The sequence below is a fragment of the Homo sapiens genome, chromosome 15 (assembly GCF_000001405.40).
Source record: "Homo sapiens chromosome 15, GRCh38.p14 Primary Assembly".
NCBI classification, from domain to species: domain Eukaryota; kingdom Metazoa; phylum Chordata; class Mammalia; order Primates; family Hominidae; genus Homo; species Homo sapiens.
The window spans coordinates 78,014,395-78,032,921 of record NC_000015.10 but is presented as its reverse complement, the minus strand read 5'-3'; the positions used below and the strand labels follow the sequence as shown (position 1 = coordinate 78,032,921).

The window sequence follows — 18,527 nt, the reverse complement described above, 5'->3', positions numbered from 1 at the left end:
TCTTCCCCTTCTCGTCCCCTTCAGTGACCGACTCATTGGTCCATCCATCCTTCCTTTTTTTCATTTGTTGTTTTTCTGTTTCATTTTAGGTCATATTTCTGTTTCGTTTTAGGTTGTTTCTATTGCAGGGTCATCCAATTTTCTAGTCTTTCCTTCCACAATACCTACTCTGCTCTTGTTCCCATTTAGCATGTTTTTCATCGTAGGCATTGTAGTTTTATCTTTGGAAATTTTATTTAAATCTTTTTTTTTTAATTTTCTATGTCTCTAAGATGTTTATTCTTTTTTTTCTAGCTTTTAGAACATAAAGAATACAGTTATAACTTTTAGAGTCCCTGTCTGCTAATTTTATCTTTTGTTGTTTCTGGTCTGTTTCTGTTGATTGATTTTTTTTCCTCATTGTGACTTGTACTTCCCACTTCGTGCATGCCTGGTCATTTTTAAAATTGAATACCAGATGTTGTGAATTTTACCTTTTTGTGTGCTGGATATATATATATATATTTTTTTTATTGCTATAAATATTATTGGGCTTTGTTCTCGGATGTATTAAATGACTCTGGAACAGTTTGATCCTTTTGAAGTTTGCTTTTAAGCTTTGCTTGGTAGGATGAGCACAGGCTTTAGGGATACCATCAGTAGCCTTTCTCAGTAATCTTTCTGATGCCCTGTGAATTATGAGGTTTTCCACTCTGACTGGTGAGACTAGGCACTATTCCCGGTCCCGTGTGAGGCTCAGGGATGGTTTCCTTTGCTTCTCTCAGTTGGTTCTCTCCCTGTCCTCGGATAGCTTTCTTACATCGAAGCCACAATCAGTACTCGGTTGAAGACTTGGGGATACCATCTAAGATCTCTGTGACACTCCCTCTGTGCAGCTCTCTTCTCTCTAGTACTCTGCTCTATGAGCTGCAACTGCCTTGAGAGTCTCCACTCTATCTTCTCATCTCAGAGAGATGCTGGGCTCCTCCTGGGTTTTCCCTGCCTGCAGCCTGGCCTGGAAACTGTCTCCAGGCAGTAAGGTGGGCTTACCTCATTGGCTTTCCCTCTCTCAGGATCAGTGTCCTGTGCTGCCTGATGGCCAATATCCAAAAACCATGGTTTCCTGTATTTTTAATTTTTTTTTCAGTTCTTTAGTTTTCACCGGGGAGGGTAAATCTAGTCCTTGTTATTCCATCTTCACTGGAAGCAGAAATCTTAACCTACTTTTTAAAACTTTTAATGAAATATTTTTAGCACACAGACAAGTATATTGATTACTCAGATAGCCATGACTCATTTTTATAGTTTTGTCATATTTCCACTGCATTTTTAAAAACAGAACTTTACTAAAATCCTCTCTCTCTCTCTTTTTTTTTTTTTTTTTTTTTGGAGACAGAGTCTTGCTCTATCGCCCAGGCTGGAGTGCAGTGGGGTGATCTCTTCTCACTGTAACCTCCGCCTCCCAGGTTCAAGTGATTCTTGTGCCTCAGCCTCCCGAGTAGCTGGGACTACAGGTGTGCACCACCACACCCAGCTAATTTTTGTGTTTTTAGTAGAGACAGAGTTTCGCCATGTTGGCCAGGCTGGTCTTAAACTCCTGACCTCAGGTGATATGCCCACCTCAGTCTCCCAAAGTACTGGGATTACAGGCATTAGCCATGGCACCTGGCTAAATCCTCTCTTCTTGATCCTATTCTTCTTTACCTTTACAGAGGTGGCCAATATTCTGTATTTGATAATTGTAATTTATGTGTGGACTTAAAAAAATAGTTTTGCTACATATATATGTATCCATAAGTAGTCTCTGTTAATAGTATAATCTGAAGGTGTAAAACAGTATCATGCTGTACCTATAATTCTTCCATTTTCTTTTTCTTTCAGTGTTTAAAAAATGTTTATCCCTATGATACGTATAGCTTTGGCTGAAATGTACATTCCACAAGAATAATAATCTTGCTGTGTTTTGTTCACTGGGATATTCCAAGCATCTAGAATATTGCCTGGCATGTTGTAGGCTCAATCAATAATTGGTGGATGAATGAGTTAATTTTAAGTGCTGTATAGTACTTGACTATATGAATATGCCACAGTTTATTCTCCTGTTCATGAATGTTTAGGTTGTTGTACCTTTTTATTTTTTTCTAATATGAACAATGCTGCAGTGAATGTTTTTGCTTGTGTCTCCTTGTGCACATATGTAAGAATTTCTTTTAGCAAATACTGGGTGTTAGGGGTAGGCACCTCTTCAACTTAACAGTACCTTGCTGAGTTCCTCTGCATGGTAATAGTATCAATTTATAATCCCACCAGCAGTGTATAAGAATCCCCATTTCGATTGGGTGAGGTGGCTCACGCCTGTAATCCCAGCACTTTGGGAGGCCGAGGTGGGCAGATCACCTTGAGGTCAAGAGTTCGAGCCCAGCCTGGCCAACATGGTGAAACCCCATCTCTACTAAAAATAATTAAAAAAAAAATTAGCTGGGCATGGTGGTGCAGCCTGTAATCCCAGCTACTCAGGGAGGCTGAGGCAGGCGAATTGCTTGAACCCAGGAGGCAGAGGTTGCAGTGAGCCAAGATTGCACCACTGTACTCCAGCCTGGGTGACAGAGGGGGACTCCATTTCAAAAAAAAAAAGGGAATCCCCATTTCTCCGTATCCTCACCAACATTTGGTATCATTAGATATTTAAATTTTTGCCAATCCTATATACATGAGATTACGTTTTGTTTTACTTTTGTTTTTGTTAATAACACATATTGTTTTTCCCAACAGGAATTCGATGTCTTCTTTCCGTCCTGGGAGAGGACATAATGATAGTCGGAGGACTGTGTTTTATACCAATGAAGAGTGGGAACTTTTAGACCCAACCCCTAAGGACCTAGAGGAGTCCATAGTACAGGAAGAAAAGAAGAAGCTGACCCCTGAAGGAAACAAAGGTATCAATGTACTTCCTGTTGTCTGTCATTCTCTGTACTGCCATCTGTTAACCACCAGTGATGTGGAGACACATTATTAGCAGGTATTTCGAGAAGCATAAGGACCAATGGGGGCTTGCATTCTCTTTGTCGGACTTAAAACATAAAGGCTTAAAAAATTATTTAATAAACGTTATAAGAAATAAATGACTGTCTAGTCCAATGGCTCAGTTTTTTGAGGGAGATAGCAGACTTGGAAGTCATGATCCTCTTTATGGAAATACTGATTTTAAAAAACTTTATAGAAATTTGAAATGTACACAAAAGAGAATATAGTCTCATGAATTCTGGTGTACACACATCATCCAGCTTCTACAATGTGAACTATGGTCTCTCTTCTTCCTTCTCCGTCTCTAAGCTCCTGCACCTCCCTGCACCCACTGTCAGCTGGATTATTATTGTAGGCATTAATCCATTGCATCTGCAAATACTTCAGTATGTATCTCTAAGAGATAATGACTCTTTAAAAAAATTATAACTACAACTTCTTTATTATATTTATAGTTACAATAAATCCTTAATATTATTTAATTGCAATCTGCAACTGCATCTGCAAATGCTATAGTATGTACCTCTAAGAGATAATGACTCTTTTAGAAAAATTATAACTGGCCAGGCGTGGTGGCTTACGCCTGTAATCCCAGCACTTTGGGAGGCTGAGGGTGGGCAGATCACGAGGTCAGGAGATCGAGACCATCCTGGCTAACATGGTGAAACTCCATCTCTACTAAAAATACAAAAAAATTAGCTGGGCGTGGTGGGGGGCGCCTGTAGTCCCAGCTACTTGGGAGGCTGAGGCAGGAGAATGGCGTGAACCTGGGAGGTAGAGCTTGCAGTGAGTGGAGATCGCGCCACTGCACTCTAGCCTGGGTGACAGACCGAGACTCTGTCTCAAAAAAAAAAAAAAATTATAACCACAACTTCTTTATTATATTTACAGTTACAATAAATCCTTAGTATTATTTAATTCCTTAATTGTTCCCTAAGTGTCTGTTTACAGCCAGTTTGTTCAAATGAGGATTCAAACAAGACCCACACATTGTATTTAATTGATGTCTTCTTAGGTCTCTTTTAATCTAAACAGCTCCCTGGCTTTTTTTCCCTTCCCCCTCCTTTGCCACATTTGTTGAAGAAACCAGGTCTTCGTGCTGAGGAGTCTCCCACATCTGGGTTTGCTGATTGTATTTCTGTGGGGTCATTTAACATGCTTCTCTGTCCCATGTAATTCCTGTATACGGGCAGTTAGAGCCGGAGGCCTGCCCAGATTCAGGGTTGACTTCTGATTCGACAGGAATGCTGTTTTGGTGGGGAGATGCTGCGTGCTTCCTATCGTATCGCATCTGAAGCCACATCATGTCTGGTTTCTCTCTTTTGATATTAAGATTGATCAGGATTTAGCGTTGTCATCTTGATTCATTCATAAAATTCTCCATCAGCCTTTTTGCCTGATGCTTTTAACATTCATTTACAATCCTAGATTTATTTATTTTATTTATTGAGACGGAGTCTCGCTCTGTCACCCAGGGTGGAGTGCAGTGGCGCGATCTCGGCTCATTGCAACCTCCGCCTTCCGGGTTAAGCGATTCTGCCTCAGCCTCCTGAGTAACTGGTATTACAGGTGCCCACCACAATGCCTGGCTAATTTTTTTATTTTTAGTAGAGACAGGGTTTCATCATGTTGGCCAGGCTGGTCTTGAACTCTTGACCTCAGGTGATTTGTCCACCTCGGTCTCCCAAAGTACTGAGATTACAGCCATGAGCCACCGTGCCTGGCCACAGTCCTAGATTTATTAATTCATTAGGAGAATATTGATGTTTTAAACATAAAATAACAATAAGTAATTTTGAAATTCCACCTTATGCCTGATTCTAGCATGGGCCAGCAGGAATAGGGTGCAGGATTTGAGGAAACCTTTATTGCGAGAGTAAGCACTTAGGAAAGGAAATATTTTTTCTGTCTCCTGGAAAAGGACTGTCATGATTTGCTGTGAGAGGGAGCTTACCTGTGCTCCATAGGATCCTGGTGTAGAACCCACTGGCCCAGTGTGACATGGTGTAGAATGTGGCCACACTGAATGTGCTGAATTACCTAATGCATGGCAAGGCCAGTGAGAGTGCCCAGAAGAGGGGCTCAGTACGAGCTGATAATGCTACCTGGAAAAAAAGAGATTAAAACTGGGGATTTGGGTTATTGAAAATAAGTACTGTTGGCTGTGACTTCCAGTAGAGACTGAGGGTGAAATAGAAGGATGAATGTGAGCAGGACTGGGGAGGAAGAATCGGGAGTGCTTAGTGAGTTGGGACGGGAGGAGAAACTCCCTGCACCTTGGAGACTGTTTTCTTGACGGATGACAGCCTTCTTAGCCCTCTGCCTAACCCTTCATCCCCTTTGAGGGGAGTTTATGTGATAGAGAGGGAGAGACAAAGATGTCACTAGACTTTGATCTTACTCTCTTCATGGGTATTTCCTGAAATGGCTCCGATAATCAGCCCTCCAACTTGTCCATGTTATTCACAGAAAGTGAACTACCCTTCCTTGTATTTTCCCGTATCTTTAAGTAAACTTTTTATTGATGTATAACATACAGAAAAGTCCCCAAATCAGAAATGTATAGCTCAGTGAATTGTCACAAATTGAATACACCCATGAAACCAGCACTCACTTCAAGAAGGAGGACGATGCCAGCACCCTAGGAACCAGCTGCCATCCCCGTGCCCTTTCCAGTCACTACCCCGCCCCAGGGAACCACTGTACTGATTCCTAACAGTGCAGGTTGGTTCTGCCTGTTTCCTAACTTTATATAAATCACACTTATATGCTCCCTTGTGTCTCCTCTTTATAATGTGAGTATATATATTTCAATCTATCTACACTAAAATTTATTTAGATCCCATAGTATTTTTTTTTTCTTTTTTAGTGATGGAGTATCTGTGTTGCCTAGGCTGGCCTTGAACTTCTAGGCCTAAGCTATCCTCCTGCCTTAGCCTCCAATAGCTGGGACCACAGGTACATACCACTGTGCCTGGCCTGACGGTATTCCCGAATACTCTTTTTTTTTTTTTTTTGAGATGGAGATTCGCTCTTGTTGCCTAGGCTGGAGTGCAATGACGTGATCTTGGCTCACTGCAAACTTTGCCTCCCGGGTTCAAGTGATTCTCCTGCCTCAGCCTCCTGAGTAGCTGGGATTACAGGCATGCACCACCACGCATATTTAGTAGAGACAGGGTTTCTCCATGTTGGTCAGGCTGGTCTCGAACTCCCGACCTCAGGTGATCCACCTGCCTCGGCCTCGCAAAGTGCTGGGATTACAGGCGTGAGCCACCATGCCTGTCCCCAAATACCCATTTTTTAAGAAGGGGAATCTAGTTATGCTTTAAAACATGCATGTCTTAGTTTGTTTTATACTGTTAAAACAGAATACCATAGGCTGAGTAATTTATAATGAACAGAAATTTATTTGGCTCATGGTTCTGGGGCTAGAAGTCCAAAAGCATGGCACTGGCATCTGGGGAGAGCCTTTGTTTTGTATAGTCCCTTGGTGGAAGGCAAGAGAGAAAGAGAGCAAGAGAGGGCAAGGGTGAGGGAGAGCCAGGGGACCAAACTTGTTTTTATTGCAAACCTGCTCTGGTGATAACTAACCCACCCTGGTGATAACAACATTAATCCATTCACAGGGGCAGAGTCCTCATGACCTAATCACCTGTTATTAGGCCTCACTTGCCAATACTGTTACATTGAGGATTAAATTTCTAACACATAAACTTTGGGGGACACATTCAAAGTATAGCAATGTTTGTATGTTAAAAAAAAAAAAACAACAAAAACCAACATACATTTGAGTGTTTTTGCTTTTTTGCTAAGGACAAATTAGCAAAAATAGGATGCTTAGTATGTCTTAGTTTTCCATGAAAAATGATCCTGTGATACAGTCTTCCAAGGAAGGATCCAGTGGGGGGAATCAATCATCTCTGGCTGAAGCATGTTGGTTACTATCTAGAATGCAGTGGGGGCAGAGTCATCAATCTCCTGTAGTTCTTAAGGTGGTGAATGCCAAACTCCCTGGAGGATGATTTGTGGGGATGCTTTATTTTGTTATAGTTTCCAAAAGGAAGATGTGGTTTTTGTTTAAAATACAAGTTTTGGCCGGGCACGGTGGCTCACGCCTGTAATCCCAACACTTCGGGAGGCCGAGGAGGAAGGATCACAACGTCAGGAGATCAAGACCATCCTGGCTAACACAGTGAAACCTCATCTCTACTGAAAATACAAAAAATTAGCCAGGCATGGTGGCGGGTGCTTGTAGTCCCAGCTACTCGGGAGGCTGAGGCAGGAGAATGGCATGAACCTGGGAGGCGGAGCTTACAGTGAGCCGACATTGCGCCACTGCACTCCAGCCTGGGCGACAGACCGACACTCCGTCTCAAAAATAATAATAATAATAATAAAATACAAGTTTTATTTTTATGTAGGAGTAACTGGCTCAGGATTCCCCTTTGATTTTGGACGTAACCCCTACAAAGGAAAGCGCCCTTTGAAAGACATAATTGGGTCGTACAAAAATCGTCACAGCAGTGGTGACCCTTCAAGTGAAGGCACATCAGGCAGTGGCAGCGTCAGCATCAGGAAGCCGGCCTCCGAAATGCAACTGCAGGTCCAGAGCCAGCAGGAAGAGCTGGAACAGTTAAAGAAAGACCTGTCCAGTCAGAAGGTAACTTCTTCTTCTGGCTTCTGTCTTACCCCACCTCAGCAGGCCAAGGACGGGAGGAGTAAAGCCCAATTTATGTTTCCCTGAGTCTTTCTGGGGACAGCTTTGTTTCCCAGGAGTTGCTTTTCCCCTGGAGGTTTCATATTGCCATGGCGGTCATCTAGGCACAGCTGCTGTGCTTGATCATTGGTTCAGAGGTGTTTGCATTTGCAAGGAGAGTGAAGATCTCTCAAAGGAGGACAGAGGAGGTTGCTGTCTGCACCACAGCCCAGTCCTGCCCCTGAGGTTGAATCTCCCTAAACACAGTTTCAGCCCAGAGTTCTTTAACAGTCATTAAAAAGAGTTTCTGCATCCTATTCAACAATGGTTTCTTGAACTAATCAGATCTAATTACATTTAATTGTTCAGCAGTTCAGTGACTCTTAGAGCACAGGTTTTTTAATACCCATGACATTTACTGGATACCATTGCTAATTATAGTGGACATGTCCATTATTTCCTGTTTCCTATTACTGTTCTCTACAGACAGTCTTTATGGAGTAAATATTTTTTTCCTCTATTTTTGAGATCCTTCAAGAGGAAGTTCAGTATTAAAATGTTTCCAGTAAAGTTTCTACATTTCCTCAAACTCTGTCGATTACTCCATGTAATGTCATGATTTCTGCTTTTCCTCCTCTCCTTGCTCTTTTCACCCTTCACTCCATTCTCCTTTTGGCTCCCAGGAGCTTGTTCGACTGCTCCAGCAGACAGTCCGGTCATCCCAGTATGACAAGTATTTCACAAGCAGCCGGCTCTGTGAGGGGGTCCCAAAGGACACGCTCGAGCTTCTGCACCAAAAGGATGATCAGATTCTGGGCCTTACCAGCCAGCTGGAGAGGTTCAGCTTGGAGAAGGAGAGTCTTCAGCAGGAAGTAAGGACGCTGAAGAGCAAAGTGGGCGAGCTCAACGAGCAGCTGGGAATGCTCATGGAGACCATCCAAGCCAAGGACGAGGTCATCATCAAGCTCAGCGAGGGCGAGGGCAACGGGCCTCCTCCCACCGTGGCGCCCAGCTCCCCTTCGGTTGTGCCTGTTGCCAGGGACCAGCTGGAACTGGACAGGCTGAAAGTAAGAGTGGGGCAGGGGCTCTGGTGATTGGCATGAGAGACCACCGATGTCACCCCAGAGGCCTGGCCTCCGTGAGCTGATTTGGTGTGACGGCAGAACAGCTGCACACTTATTTTTTTTCCCCACAAGTGTAACAGGACTTACCATCAAATAATCATTAATCTTCTGTGGAGCTTCCTTGGAAAAGGAAACTCTTGCTGTTGCTTTGAACAGTTTCAAATCCTTCCCCTCCCTTGTTTTCAGGCAACTAAGACTTCTCTTTCTATATATACCACCCTTAGTACTTCATTATCCCTTGTATCATATGGAGGCTGTTTCTTGCCTCTCCTGTGTGCATGAAATCACACACAAACTTAATTTGCACAGCTTGCTGCAGGACCTAGTGGATGCCTGGTTTGGGAGCATTGCTCCTAACAGCTAGTATGGGGTTAGCTGGGGAAGCGGACTCCAGCTTCCAAGTAGGCCTGGGAAGAGGGCCTGTTCAGAGTCAGTGCCCCCAGCACCCAAGATGGGAGGGTCCTGACACTCAGTAGGAAGGACAGCTTTCCTCCCCGTGTCCTTCTCTGGGCTAGCCCTTAGGCTGGGAGGCTATTGCCTGAACAGAAGTGACCCTCCTAGTCATGCCTGGGGTGGTGACCAGCTGATGCGGTAGGAGGAACACACAGCATTTGTGAGAGGTGGGGGCAGCCTGCATTTCTCTTCTTGCCTGTAGAGAAGCCTAATGATTCAGAGGGGAGGCCACAGGGAGGATCATAACATTCTTGCTGCCACCGGTTCTTGAGACTTTGTGGGAGAGGTTTTAGGTGGACAAGTGGCCCCCAGGACATGGGGCATCAAGTATAGCCTGTTTGACCCCAGCAGACCCCAGACATGTCTGTAGCTACTGGTCTCACCTAGCCCCAAGGCGTCCCTCACCTGGCCACCCTCATCTTGCAAATAATGTGTCTCCGAGGGTGTTTGGCTCTGGATGGAGCTTGTCCTTGGAGGGCAGAGGTTTGCTGCTGTCCAGGTTGTTACTGAGTATTTGCTTCATGCCTAGCAGTACCTTTCAGGCGATGCATTGAGTGAGGGAATGATAGGCATGCTAGGGACCCTGAAGATAATTCCAAAACAGAAGTAAAAACACCGGAATCATGGCAGCATGGCTGGAATATGTACATGGTCCCCATAGTGACCACTTCTCACTGACAACACCCATTGGATATGTGAGGCCCAGAGGATTTATGAATGAGAAAATCCAAAACAACAAGAAAACCTCTGGTCTCAATACTTTACACTTATATCTACTATTTAAAAAAAAAAAAGTTGGCTGTGCATAGTGGCTCACGCCTGTGATAGCAGCACTTTGGGTGACTGAGGTGGGCACATTGCTTGAGCCCAGGAATTTGAGACCAGTGTAGGCAACATAGTGAAACCCCCGTCTCTATACAAAAAAAAAAATGGCCAGGCATGGTGGCTTGCACTTGTGGTCCCAACTACTCAAGAGGCTGAAGTGGGAGGATTGCTTGAGCCCTGGAAAGCAGAGCAAGGCTGCAGTGAGCGGAGATCCTCACACCACACTCCAGCCTGGATGACAAAGTGAGACCCCGTTGCAAGAAAAAAAAAATAGGCTTTGTGGTTTTTGTTTGTTTGTTTTTTTAATAAGAGGTCTTGGTTAGCATTGCCAATGGAAGTTGGGTTTTTTAATGTACACAACATTGAATATACATGACCCTAAATATATACCCATCAATAATACACATTTTGGGATTACTTAATGAAAACAGAAATTTTTATTTTTATGTATTTATTTTTTTTGAGACAGTGTCTTGCTCTTTTGCCCAGGCTGGAATGCAGTAGTGCAATCTCAGCTCACTGCAGCCTTAACCTCCCTGGCTCAAGAAATCCTCCAGCCTCAGCCTCCTGAGTAGCTGGGACTAGAGGCATATGTCACCACACCCAGCTCATTTTTATATTTTTAGTAGAGACAGAGTTTCGCCGTGTTGCCTGGGCTAGTCTTGAACTCCTGAGCTCAAGTGATCTGCCTGCCTTGGCCTCAGAATGCTGAGATTACAGGCATGAGCCATTGCATCCAGCAGACAGGTGAAATTTTTATTTTGCAAGTGTGTCTATTTCTGTAGTGCGTAGAACAATACTATAGTGGTGGGTTTCCAGGGCGTGCGTGACACTTGGCAGTGGGGGAGACGTGTGGAGCAGGTTTTCCCGGGGAGCGAGCCAGGGTGTGCGTGGAGGTTATGCTTCGTGGCTGTGGCGACTATGCAGCTCCTTCTGTAGACAGCTAACGGAGCTGATCGGGATACAGCGCTGTCAGAACAGGACATTCCCTCCTCTTTTCTTTTTGCAGCATAATGGGTGGAGTGGTTTTGAGCCATGAAGTTTTTTTCCTCCAACATTTCTCAACTTAACAAGTTTAGCAATTTTTAACAACTTAACAAGCCTGTGGCCCCAACATATCACAATTGTGAGGTGATGTGGCGACAGACGATGAAGAGGCAAAGTGGTTGTTAGGTGGATTCCAGGTGAGACAGTTGAGGCCTGCCTGGGTCCATGACCTCATGCTTTCTGACATTGCTCTGTTATTGCCAGTGCTGGGGGTCCCTCTGCAATGCAGAAGGTGTTCACACCTCATGCAGGTCTCCTCTGCAGTGGCACTGGGAGAACTGGAAAGGCTCCAGGGAGAAAGAGGGAGCGCACTGACAGAAGTGGGTGTTCTCGTGTGTGTTCCCTCATAGCCCTTCAGCTCTAGACAGGGTATGGTTGAGGAAGAAATATTGATTCCTACTTCTGATTCCAAATTTAAATGTCTAAGTGGAAAAATATATATATTTAAGATATATTTATTTAAAGTATATTTTATATATTTTTAATTTTAAAGATATGTTTATATATCTTTTTTGCTATTGCTGTTCTTGACCAGTTTTCATGCTTTATTGTCAGTGGATGCTGCCTGTAAAGATTTCTGCCATTTGGAATTTGTTAACTTTTTTTGGTGTGGTCTAATGCTTTTTGTTTCTATAGTATTCCGAGGCAGGAATAAACATTGGTCCTAGGATTTTGCCACCCTAGTGATTTAAGTCATTATTTCTCCATGTTTCCTTCCAATCCTTTTCTGTGTTTCCGTAATTCTTCCATTTTTGAAGTGTATGGACTTTCGGATTGTTCCATTCAACACTGTGGCCCCAGCACTTCCATATTGCTTTCATTAGCGATTTCAGTGTTGTCCATCCTTTGTGTTATCATTTACTTCATCCTTGTCTTTCTTCCTGCGTTTGCTGTTCCATGAATACCTCCGTGCCTACAGCTTCTCCTTCTTCCAGCTCATCTATGCATCCAGCTGTGTGCCCACCCTTTTACTCTGCACGGGTACACAGGCACTGCACTCCTGGGCCTCACAGTTTAGTTTAGAGGCACAAACAGAAAAGCAAAATGACAACTGGAGCAAGCACCAGGAGGGAAGGGGATGTGGAACAGCGTGGGGTGATGCTTTACATTGAGCATGGCCTCTGGAGCCAGCCCAGGTTGGATTCAAACCCAGATCACCACTTAGGACCTCTGACTTGGCCAGGTGAATTCATGTCTCTGCCTCAGTGTATTTGTCTGTGAAATAGTGCTTATTTTCCTCATAGGTATTGTGAGGGTTACAGGCGGTAATCCATGTAAAGCCCTCCCTCACACAGTGCCTGGCTCCTCATAAGGTCTTCACTGTTAGGTGTTGTTGCTGTGATCATCATCGTTCTAGAGAAAGTATCTGTAATATAAATGATCAGGACTTACTTAGACTGTAACACAAGTTTTAAGTTAAAGACATACATGGCGGCTGATGTTACTTGCTTTCACTGACCCCACCTTGTATCACTCAGTCTCTATCCATCACTGTTGAGTGCTTTCTTCAGTTGCCCTCCAGCCAGCTTTCCTTTGGCTGACCTGCCTTTTAGTAATATGTTTGCTTAATGTTTCCAAATATGAGACCTTTGGCCAGGTGCAATAGCTCATACCTGTAATCCCAGTGCTTTGGGAGGCCGAGGCAAGAGGATCACTTAAGGCCAAGAGTTTGAGACCAGCCTGGGCAACATAGTGAGATCTCATCTCTACAAAAAACATTAGCTGGGTGTGGTGGCCATGCCTTTGGTCCTAGCTACTCAGGAGGTTGAGGTGGGAGGATCACTTATGCCCAGGAGTTCGAGGCTGCAGTGAGCTATGACCATGCTACTGCACTCCAGCCTGGGCAAGAGTGAGACCCTGTCTCCCCCCCCCTTTTTTTTTTTTTGATACAGAGTCTCACTATTTCACCCAGTTTGGAGTGCAGTGGCATGATCTTGGCTCACTGCAGCCTCCACCTCCTGGGGTCAAGTGATTCTCATGCCTCAGAAAGGGTAGCTGGGACTATAGGTGTGCGCTATCACGTCTGGCTAAATTTTTTTTGTATTTTTAGTAGAGACAGGGTTTCGCCATGTTAGCCAGGCTGGTCTCAAACTCCTGGCCTCAAGTGATCCTCTTGCCTTGGCCTCCCAAAGTGCTGGGATTACAGGCATGAGTCACCATTCCCAGCCAACCTTGTTTCTTTAAAAAAAAAAAAGCTTTTAAGACACCAGTAGAAAGGAGATTCAGGTGAGAAAAGGAAGTCCAACATTCAACATTTCAAGTACTTGTCATGACGTGACAAGTACTTGAATGTGCTCAGGCTGAGTATGATGCCTATCGAAGTTCTAGTGGGAGTCGGGCCTGAGACCATGGAGCTAAGAGCCCACTGGTCTGGCTCTCAGAAGTCTGATTTGCAGGCTAGACAGTAACTGGGCAGCTTTCTATGGCTCAATTCTTCACCTCAAAAATAAAGATGGTGAGAATGGCTGCCTAAGAGTTGGAGTTTTAAACAAGATTAGGAATCTCACATGCCTAGCACGGGGCACCTGTAACCCATCGCAAGTGCTCCGTAAATGTTAGTGATTAAAGGGAACATTGAACCATTTTCAGTTCTTCTGCATTTTATGGGGGAAGTGGTATAATCCCGTGGTGGTTTCTTGTTTGGCGATGGGGAGTTTCTGTAGCCGCATCTCTGGGGAGCGGCAGCAGTCTCCTGCTTGTGATATCACCAGAGTCTGTCTTGACTACCCTGGCCTGCCGTTTGAGCTGTCTTGAACATAATTTCTTCTGTGACTGGGAGATTAGGAACCTCACACACCAGCCTGTCAGATTATAAAAGAGAAACAGAAGCTGGGGGAGAAGAGACACATTTATAAAAGACTAAATTTGTAAAGAACATTTAGAAGTCACTGCTCAGAGGTGATTCGGTTTAGTATCCTTAGCAGCTTCTTCAGTTCATTGTTTTTATTATTAGGAAAGTCTAAGGAAGTTTTCTGAGCTTCATTTTCAGTGTTTTACATGAAAACACTTCACCCCCTTTTTGGTTTGCTTTTTGTTGCTGTTGGATCCTTTCAGCTTTCTTGCTTGGAGTTTCAAGGGCTGAAGCCAATATGACATGTGTCCTGCCCCGACCTGCTCTCAAAGTTGGACTCGGCAGAACTTGTCACCAGCTTGTTATGTTCTTTTATAGACAGAAAGCAAATAGGCAAAGGTTAACAATTGGCTAATTTAGGTGAAGGCTATATTGTGTTCATTGTACTTTTCTTTCAACTTTTCTGTAAGTTTGAAATTTTTCAGTGTTGAAGAATATGTTCTCTTACGTGCCTTATACGTTTTAGGTCATAGGATTTGTTATTAAGAGTGATTTTTAGTTATGGGCTGTATATGTATGTAGACTTTTTTTACGTAAACTGGATAAGTGAAGATGAGAACCTTCAGAAAATATGTTCAGTTTCTCTAGTTTAAAAAAAAGTAAGGTATTGCTTTTTTTTAACCACCTCAATGAATATGGAATATGGATAGATAAAATATTTGCATAGATTTAGGAATATGTCATATTTATTTCTCCTGTCATCAGTTGAGAAAAACTACCACAATTAAATAAAAATATCTTCTCCATCTCCGTTACGGCAGTCATGCCTGCCTGCCTTCTACTACTGTAAATGGCCAAAAAGATTAATTAGGAAGTGCCTTTTAACAACTTCTAGTTCTTTAGAACTTACTCTAACTTAGCAGGGCTATTTGATTGGTGAAGCAGCAAGCTACTGACTACATAGGGTAATTAATTAGTCAATATTCAACCAATGTGAATTCAGGGATTTTTTTTTTTTCTAACAGGATAATCTACAGGGGTACAAAACCCAAAACAAATTTCTAAATAAGGAGATTTTGGAACTCTCAGCTCTACGAAGAAATGCAGAAAGGAGAGAGAGGGATCTGATGGCAAAGGTGGGTCAGGATAGGTGGATTCTATTACCTGGTGGGAGGTAAGGTTAGGAAACCATTAAAAATAAGCATGCTTTACAAAGCGGTTCAACTCCCAGGCTTGGAGAGATGTGGTTACTGATAACAAAATATATTTAAAATACATATAATACATAGAGCTGTATAGTTAGTCTCATTTTATTATCTCTGATGAAGACAGATAAATGCCGTGAGATGTGAGTTTTTCACATAAACTGGATAAGTAAGAATGAGAAGCTACAGAAAATGTGTTCAGTTTCTCTAGTTAAAAAAAGAACATAAGGTATTGCTTTCTTTGTGTACCTTTGTTCATAAGCATTTTTAATAGATTTTGAAGAAAACAAAGTAAGTACATAATTATAAGGTCACCTAAATTAAGATTATTTGGGTTTTGATTTATGCTGTTCAGTTTTGTATTTATGGAGATGGTGAGGTAAATGCCTCCTCTGTGAACCCAATAGGGTTGGTGTGAAAGTCAGATATGATTATGGCTGGAAGGGGCTTTGCACAAAGTGTAATGGGACCACAAACATTTCAGCTGTCATCAAATGAGCTGTAATCAAATGATACTTGTCAACAGCTGTTATATACCTGATATACTTTTTTGAACAGAACTTGAAGCATCTTCCCAGACCTTATTCCTGCATGTTTTCTAGGGTATATTTGATTTGTCTGATAAGGTGGCAGATGGGAGCTAGTCCTGGACCACAGTGTCCTAAGAAAGAATGGGTATAGCATGGAGTGGCCACTCATGGGCCATGTGCCAGATGGCACCGAGCTGGACCTCAGTAATTGGCATGTAGCCTGGTTCCTGCTGCTCTCTCCACCTCTGTCCAGAGGTGATGCATTTGTTGGCATCCAGAGGTCTGATTATCAGCACTCCTTCTATAAGGAAGAGAGGAACCCACTGCAGGCCATTTTAAACATGAAAGGTGGTCTGTGGCATAAATTAATTTCTTGTCTTTGCTACAGTCTGTCTCTGGCTCACTTCCTAATAGTTTTGGGTTTGTTGTTCACTGGTCATTTGCGTACCTAAAGATTGCTCTTCCTGTGTCTCTGTCTGAATGGAGGTAACCACCACATTCTCTGCAGTATTCTAGCCTGGAAGCCAAGCTCTGCCAGATAGAAAGTAAATACCTGATATTGCTCCAAGAAATGAAGACACCAGTGTGCTCAGAAGACCAGGGGCCCACCCGGGAGGTCATAGCCCAGTTGCTGGAGGATGCTCTGCAGGTTGAGAGCCAAGAGCAGCCGGAGCAAGCATTTGTTAAACCTCATCTTGTCAGGTAAATGTGCTAGTGACTGTTGAGGGTAGTGCACCCCATTTCTGAAGTCCCTTTTTCAACAGCAGGAACCATTCGCAGAGAGCCGTACACAACTGTGTGTCTCATTTGGTGCTCATGACAAATGCTGTCAGGTCAGCAGAACGGTAATGTCTTCATTCTCCCCTAGTAATCAAGTCATAGAGCGGGGACTTACCACAGGTCTTCTGATTGCAAGACCTATTTTTCGTGTAAGTAAGGGAGCCTTCCTTCTGATCCTTCCTTACTTCAGGAGGAGCCAGTCTTCCAAGGAATAGGAACCTTCTCCTAAAACATAGCCCTACCCACAGGTGGTTCAAAACAAAGGGACCCTTAAGTGGGGAACTGAGCTTACACACACACACACCCCCCATATATTTTTGGGGAAAGCACTAAATCTGGAAGCCAATGATGGATCTTGGATTAAGAACCCTCTCATAACCTGTCTTCTAAAAAATATGAGACTCATGAAATACTTGAACCAGGAGAAATCTACAGATTCACGCAGTTCAGCCTCTTGTTTCCACGACTCAGGACCAGCCCTGTGTCTAGGCCTTGCTTACTGCAGTCTCCTTGCTTCTCCTGCCCCACCCCTGTAGGCCCAGGTGAAGCCTTGCTTCAGTTTGACATGACCTTTCCCTTCTCTGAGCTTACAGCACCAGCCTGCATTGTTTGGGCTACTCAGATGACAGAAATATGCTCAGAAAGTACCCAACACCATCTTTACTAAACACTTTTATGGATGTTTGCCATGTGCCAGGAGCTGTGCTAAGGGTTTTATGTGCAGAGTTGTACTTAATGTTCAGTGAGGTGAGTGTTTTTATCCTCACTTTACAAGTGAAGAAGCGGAGTATGGAAGTGATATAACTTGCCCAGAGTCACCCAGCCTGTGAGTGGTGAGGACAGGCCCTCAGCCTGGATAGTCGGGTTCCCAGGTGCAGTAGCTCCACCAGTACGCTGGGCATTGCTGCTTTGCTCATCGTGGTGGCTGTTAACTTCTGTGAGCTCTTGGAGCGCTTCTAAACGTGCTGTGTGTTCTTCCCATGCAAAAGCGTTTTGTGCTCTTACTATTTATATTGTGTGTTCAAATTTTATATATAAGTGAAATAACCATATATATTGGTTTATTTTCAACTTTTTCTTATGGAAAATTTAAAACATACAAAGAAGTAGACAGAATTATGTAACATATACCCCTGTGTGCAACTAACTTGAGCAATTGTTAATGTTTTGCCAATATAGTTTCATTTTACCTCCTCACTCCCCACAGTTTTTTTCTGGAATATTTTATTTTATTTTATTGTTTTGTTTTGTTTTATTTTGTTTTTTTGAGACAGAGTCTCGCGCTGTTGCCCAGGCTGGAGTACAGTGGCACAATCTTAGCTCACTGCAAGCTCCGCCTCCCGGGTTCACGCCATTCTCCTGCCTCAGCCTCCTGAGTGGCTGGGACTACAGGCGCCCACCACCACGCCCGGCTAATTTTTTGTATTTTTAGCAGAGACAGGGTTTCACCGTGTTAGCCAGGATGGTCTCGATCTCCTGACCTTGTGATCTGCCTGCCTCGGCCTCCCAAAGTGCTGGGATTACCGGTGTCAGCCACCGCACCCAGCCTTTTCTGGAATATTTTAAAGCAAATGCCAGACGTCACGTCATTCCACCTGTAAAATACTTCAGTGTGTATTTCTGACTGATGATACCTTTTTACATACTAATCCCAGATACATATCATTTTGAACTTATTTCCTTCAACATTATTTTCTGAAATTATCCAGGTTGATACAAGTTACTCCTGAGCTATTTTTTTTAAGAGATGAGGTCTCTCAGTCTGTTGCCCTGGCTGGCCTCGACCTCCTGGTGGGCTCAAGCAGTTCTCCTACATCAGCCTCCCAAATAGCTGGTACTACAAATGCACACGACTGAGCATGTTTACCTTCTTTGTAGAACATCATTGTATGAATCTACCATGGTGTCTTTATTCCTTCCCCTCATGGAGGACATTTAGGTTCTTTCCATTTTTCCTTGTTACAGTGATGCAAGGACCATCATGGTCCATATTCCCATGTGCCCACGTGAGAGAGTTTCTCTAGGGTGCAGACTGGAAGTGGAATTCCTAGTGTATAGAAAATACATACCTTT

General features: G+C 43.5%; 1 protein-coding gene across 16 annotated transcripts in view; it reads left to right on the top strand.

Moving 5' to 3' along the window:
• TBC1D2B (TBC1 domain family member 2B) overlaps window positions 1-18,527 on the top strand; it is an 82,727-nt gene that overhangs the window by 44,790 nt on the left and 19,410 nt on the right. For 13 of the 16 annotated variants that reach the window (XM_047432269.1, NM_015079.6, NM_001387142.1 and 10 more), the window contains 5 exons: window positions 2,752-2,915; window positions 7,425-7,663; window positions 8,383-8,766; window positions 14,965-15,075; window positions 16,183-16,376. In XM_047432269.1, the coding sequence (XP_047288225.1) occupies window positions 2,759-2,915; window positions 7,425-7,663; window positions 8,383-8,766; window positions 14,965-15,075; window positions 16,183-16,376 (1,085 nt within the window). In that variant the 5' untranslated portion in view covers window positions 2,752-2,758. The remainder of the gene's footprint in view (window positions 1-2,751; window positions 2,916-7,424; window positions 7,664-8,382; window positions 8,767-14,964; window positions 15,076-16,182; window positions 16,377-18,527) is intronic. The other 3 variants (NM_001387143.1, NM_001387149.1, XM_011521387.3) reach the window with 3 other exon arrangements.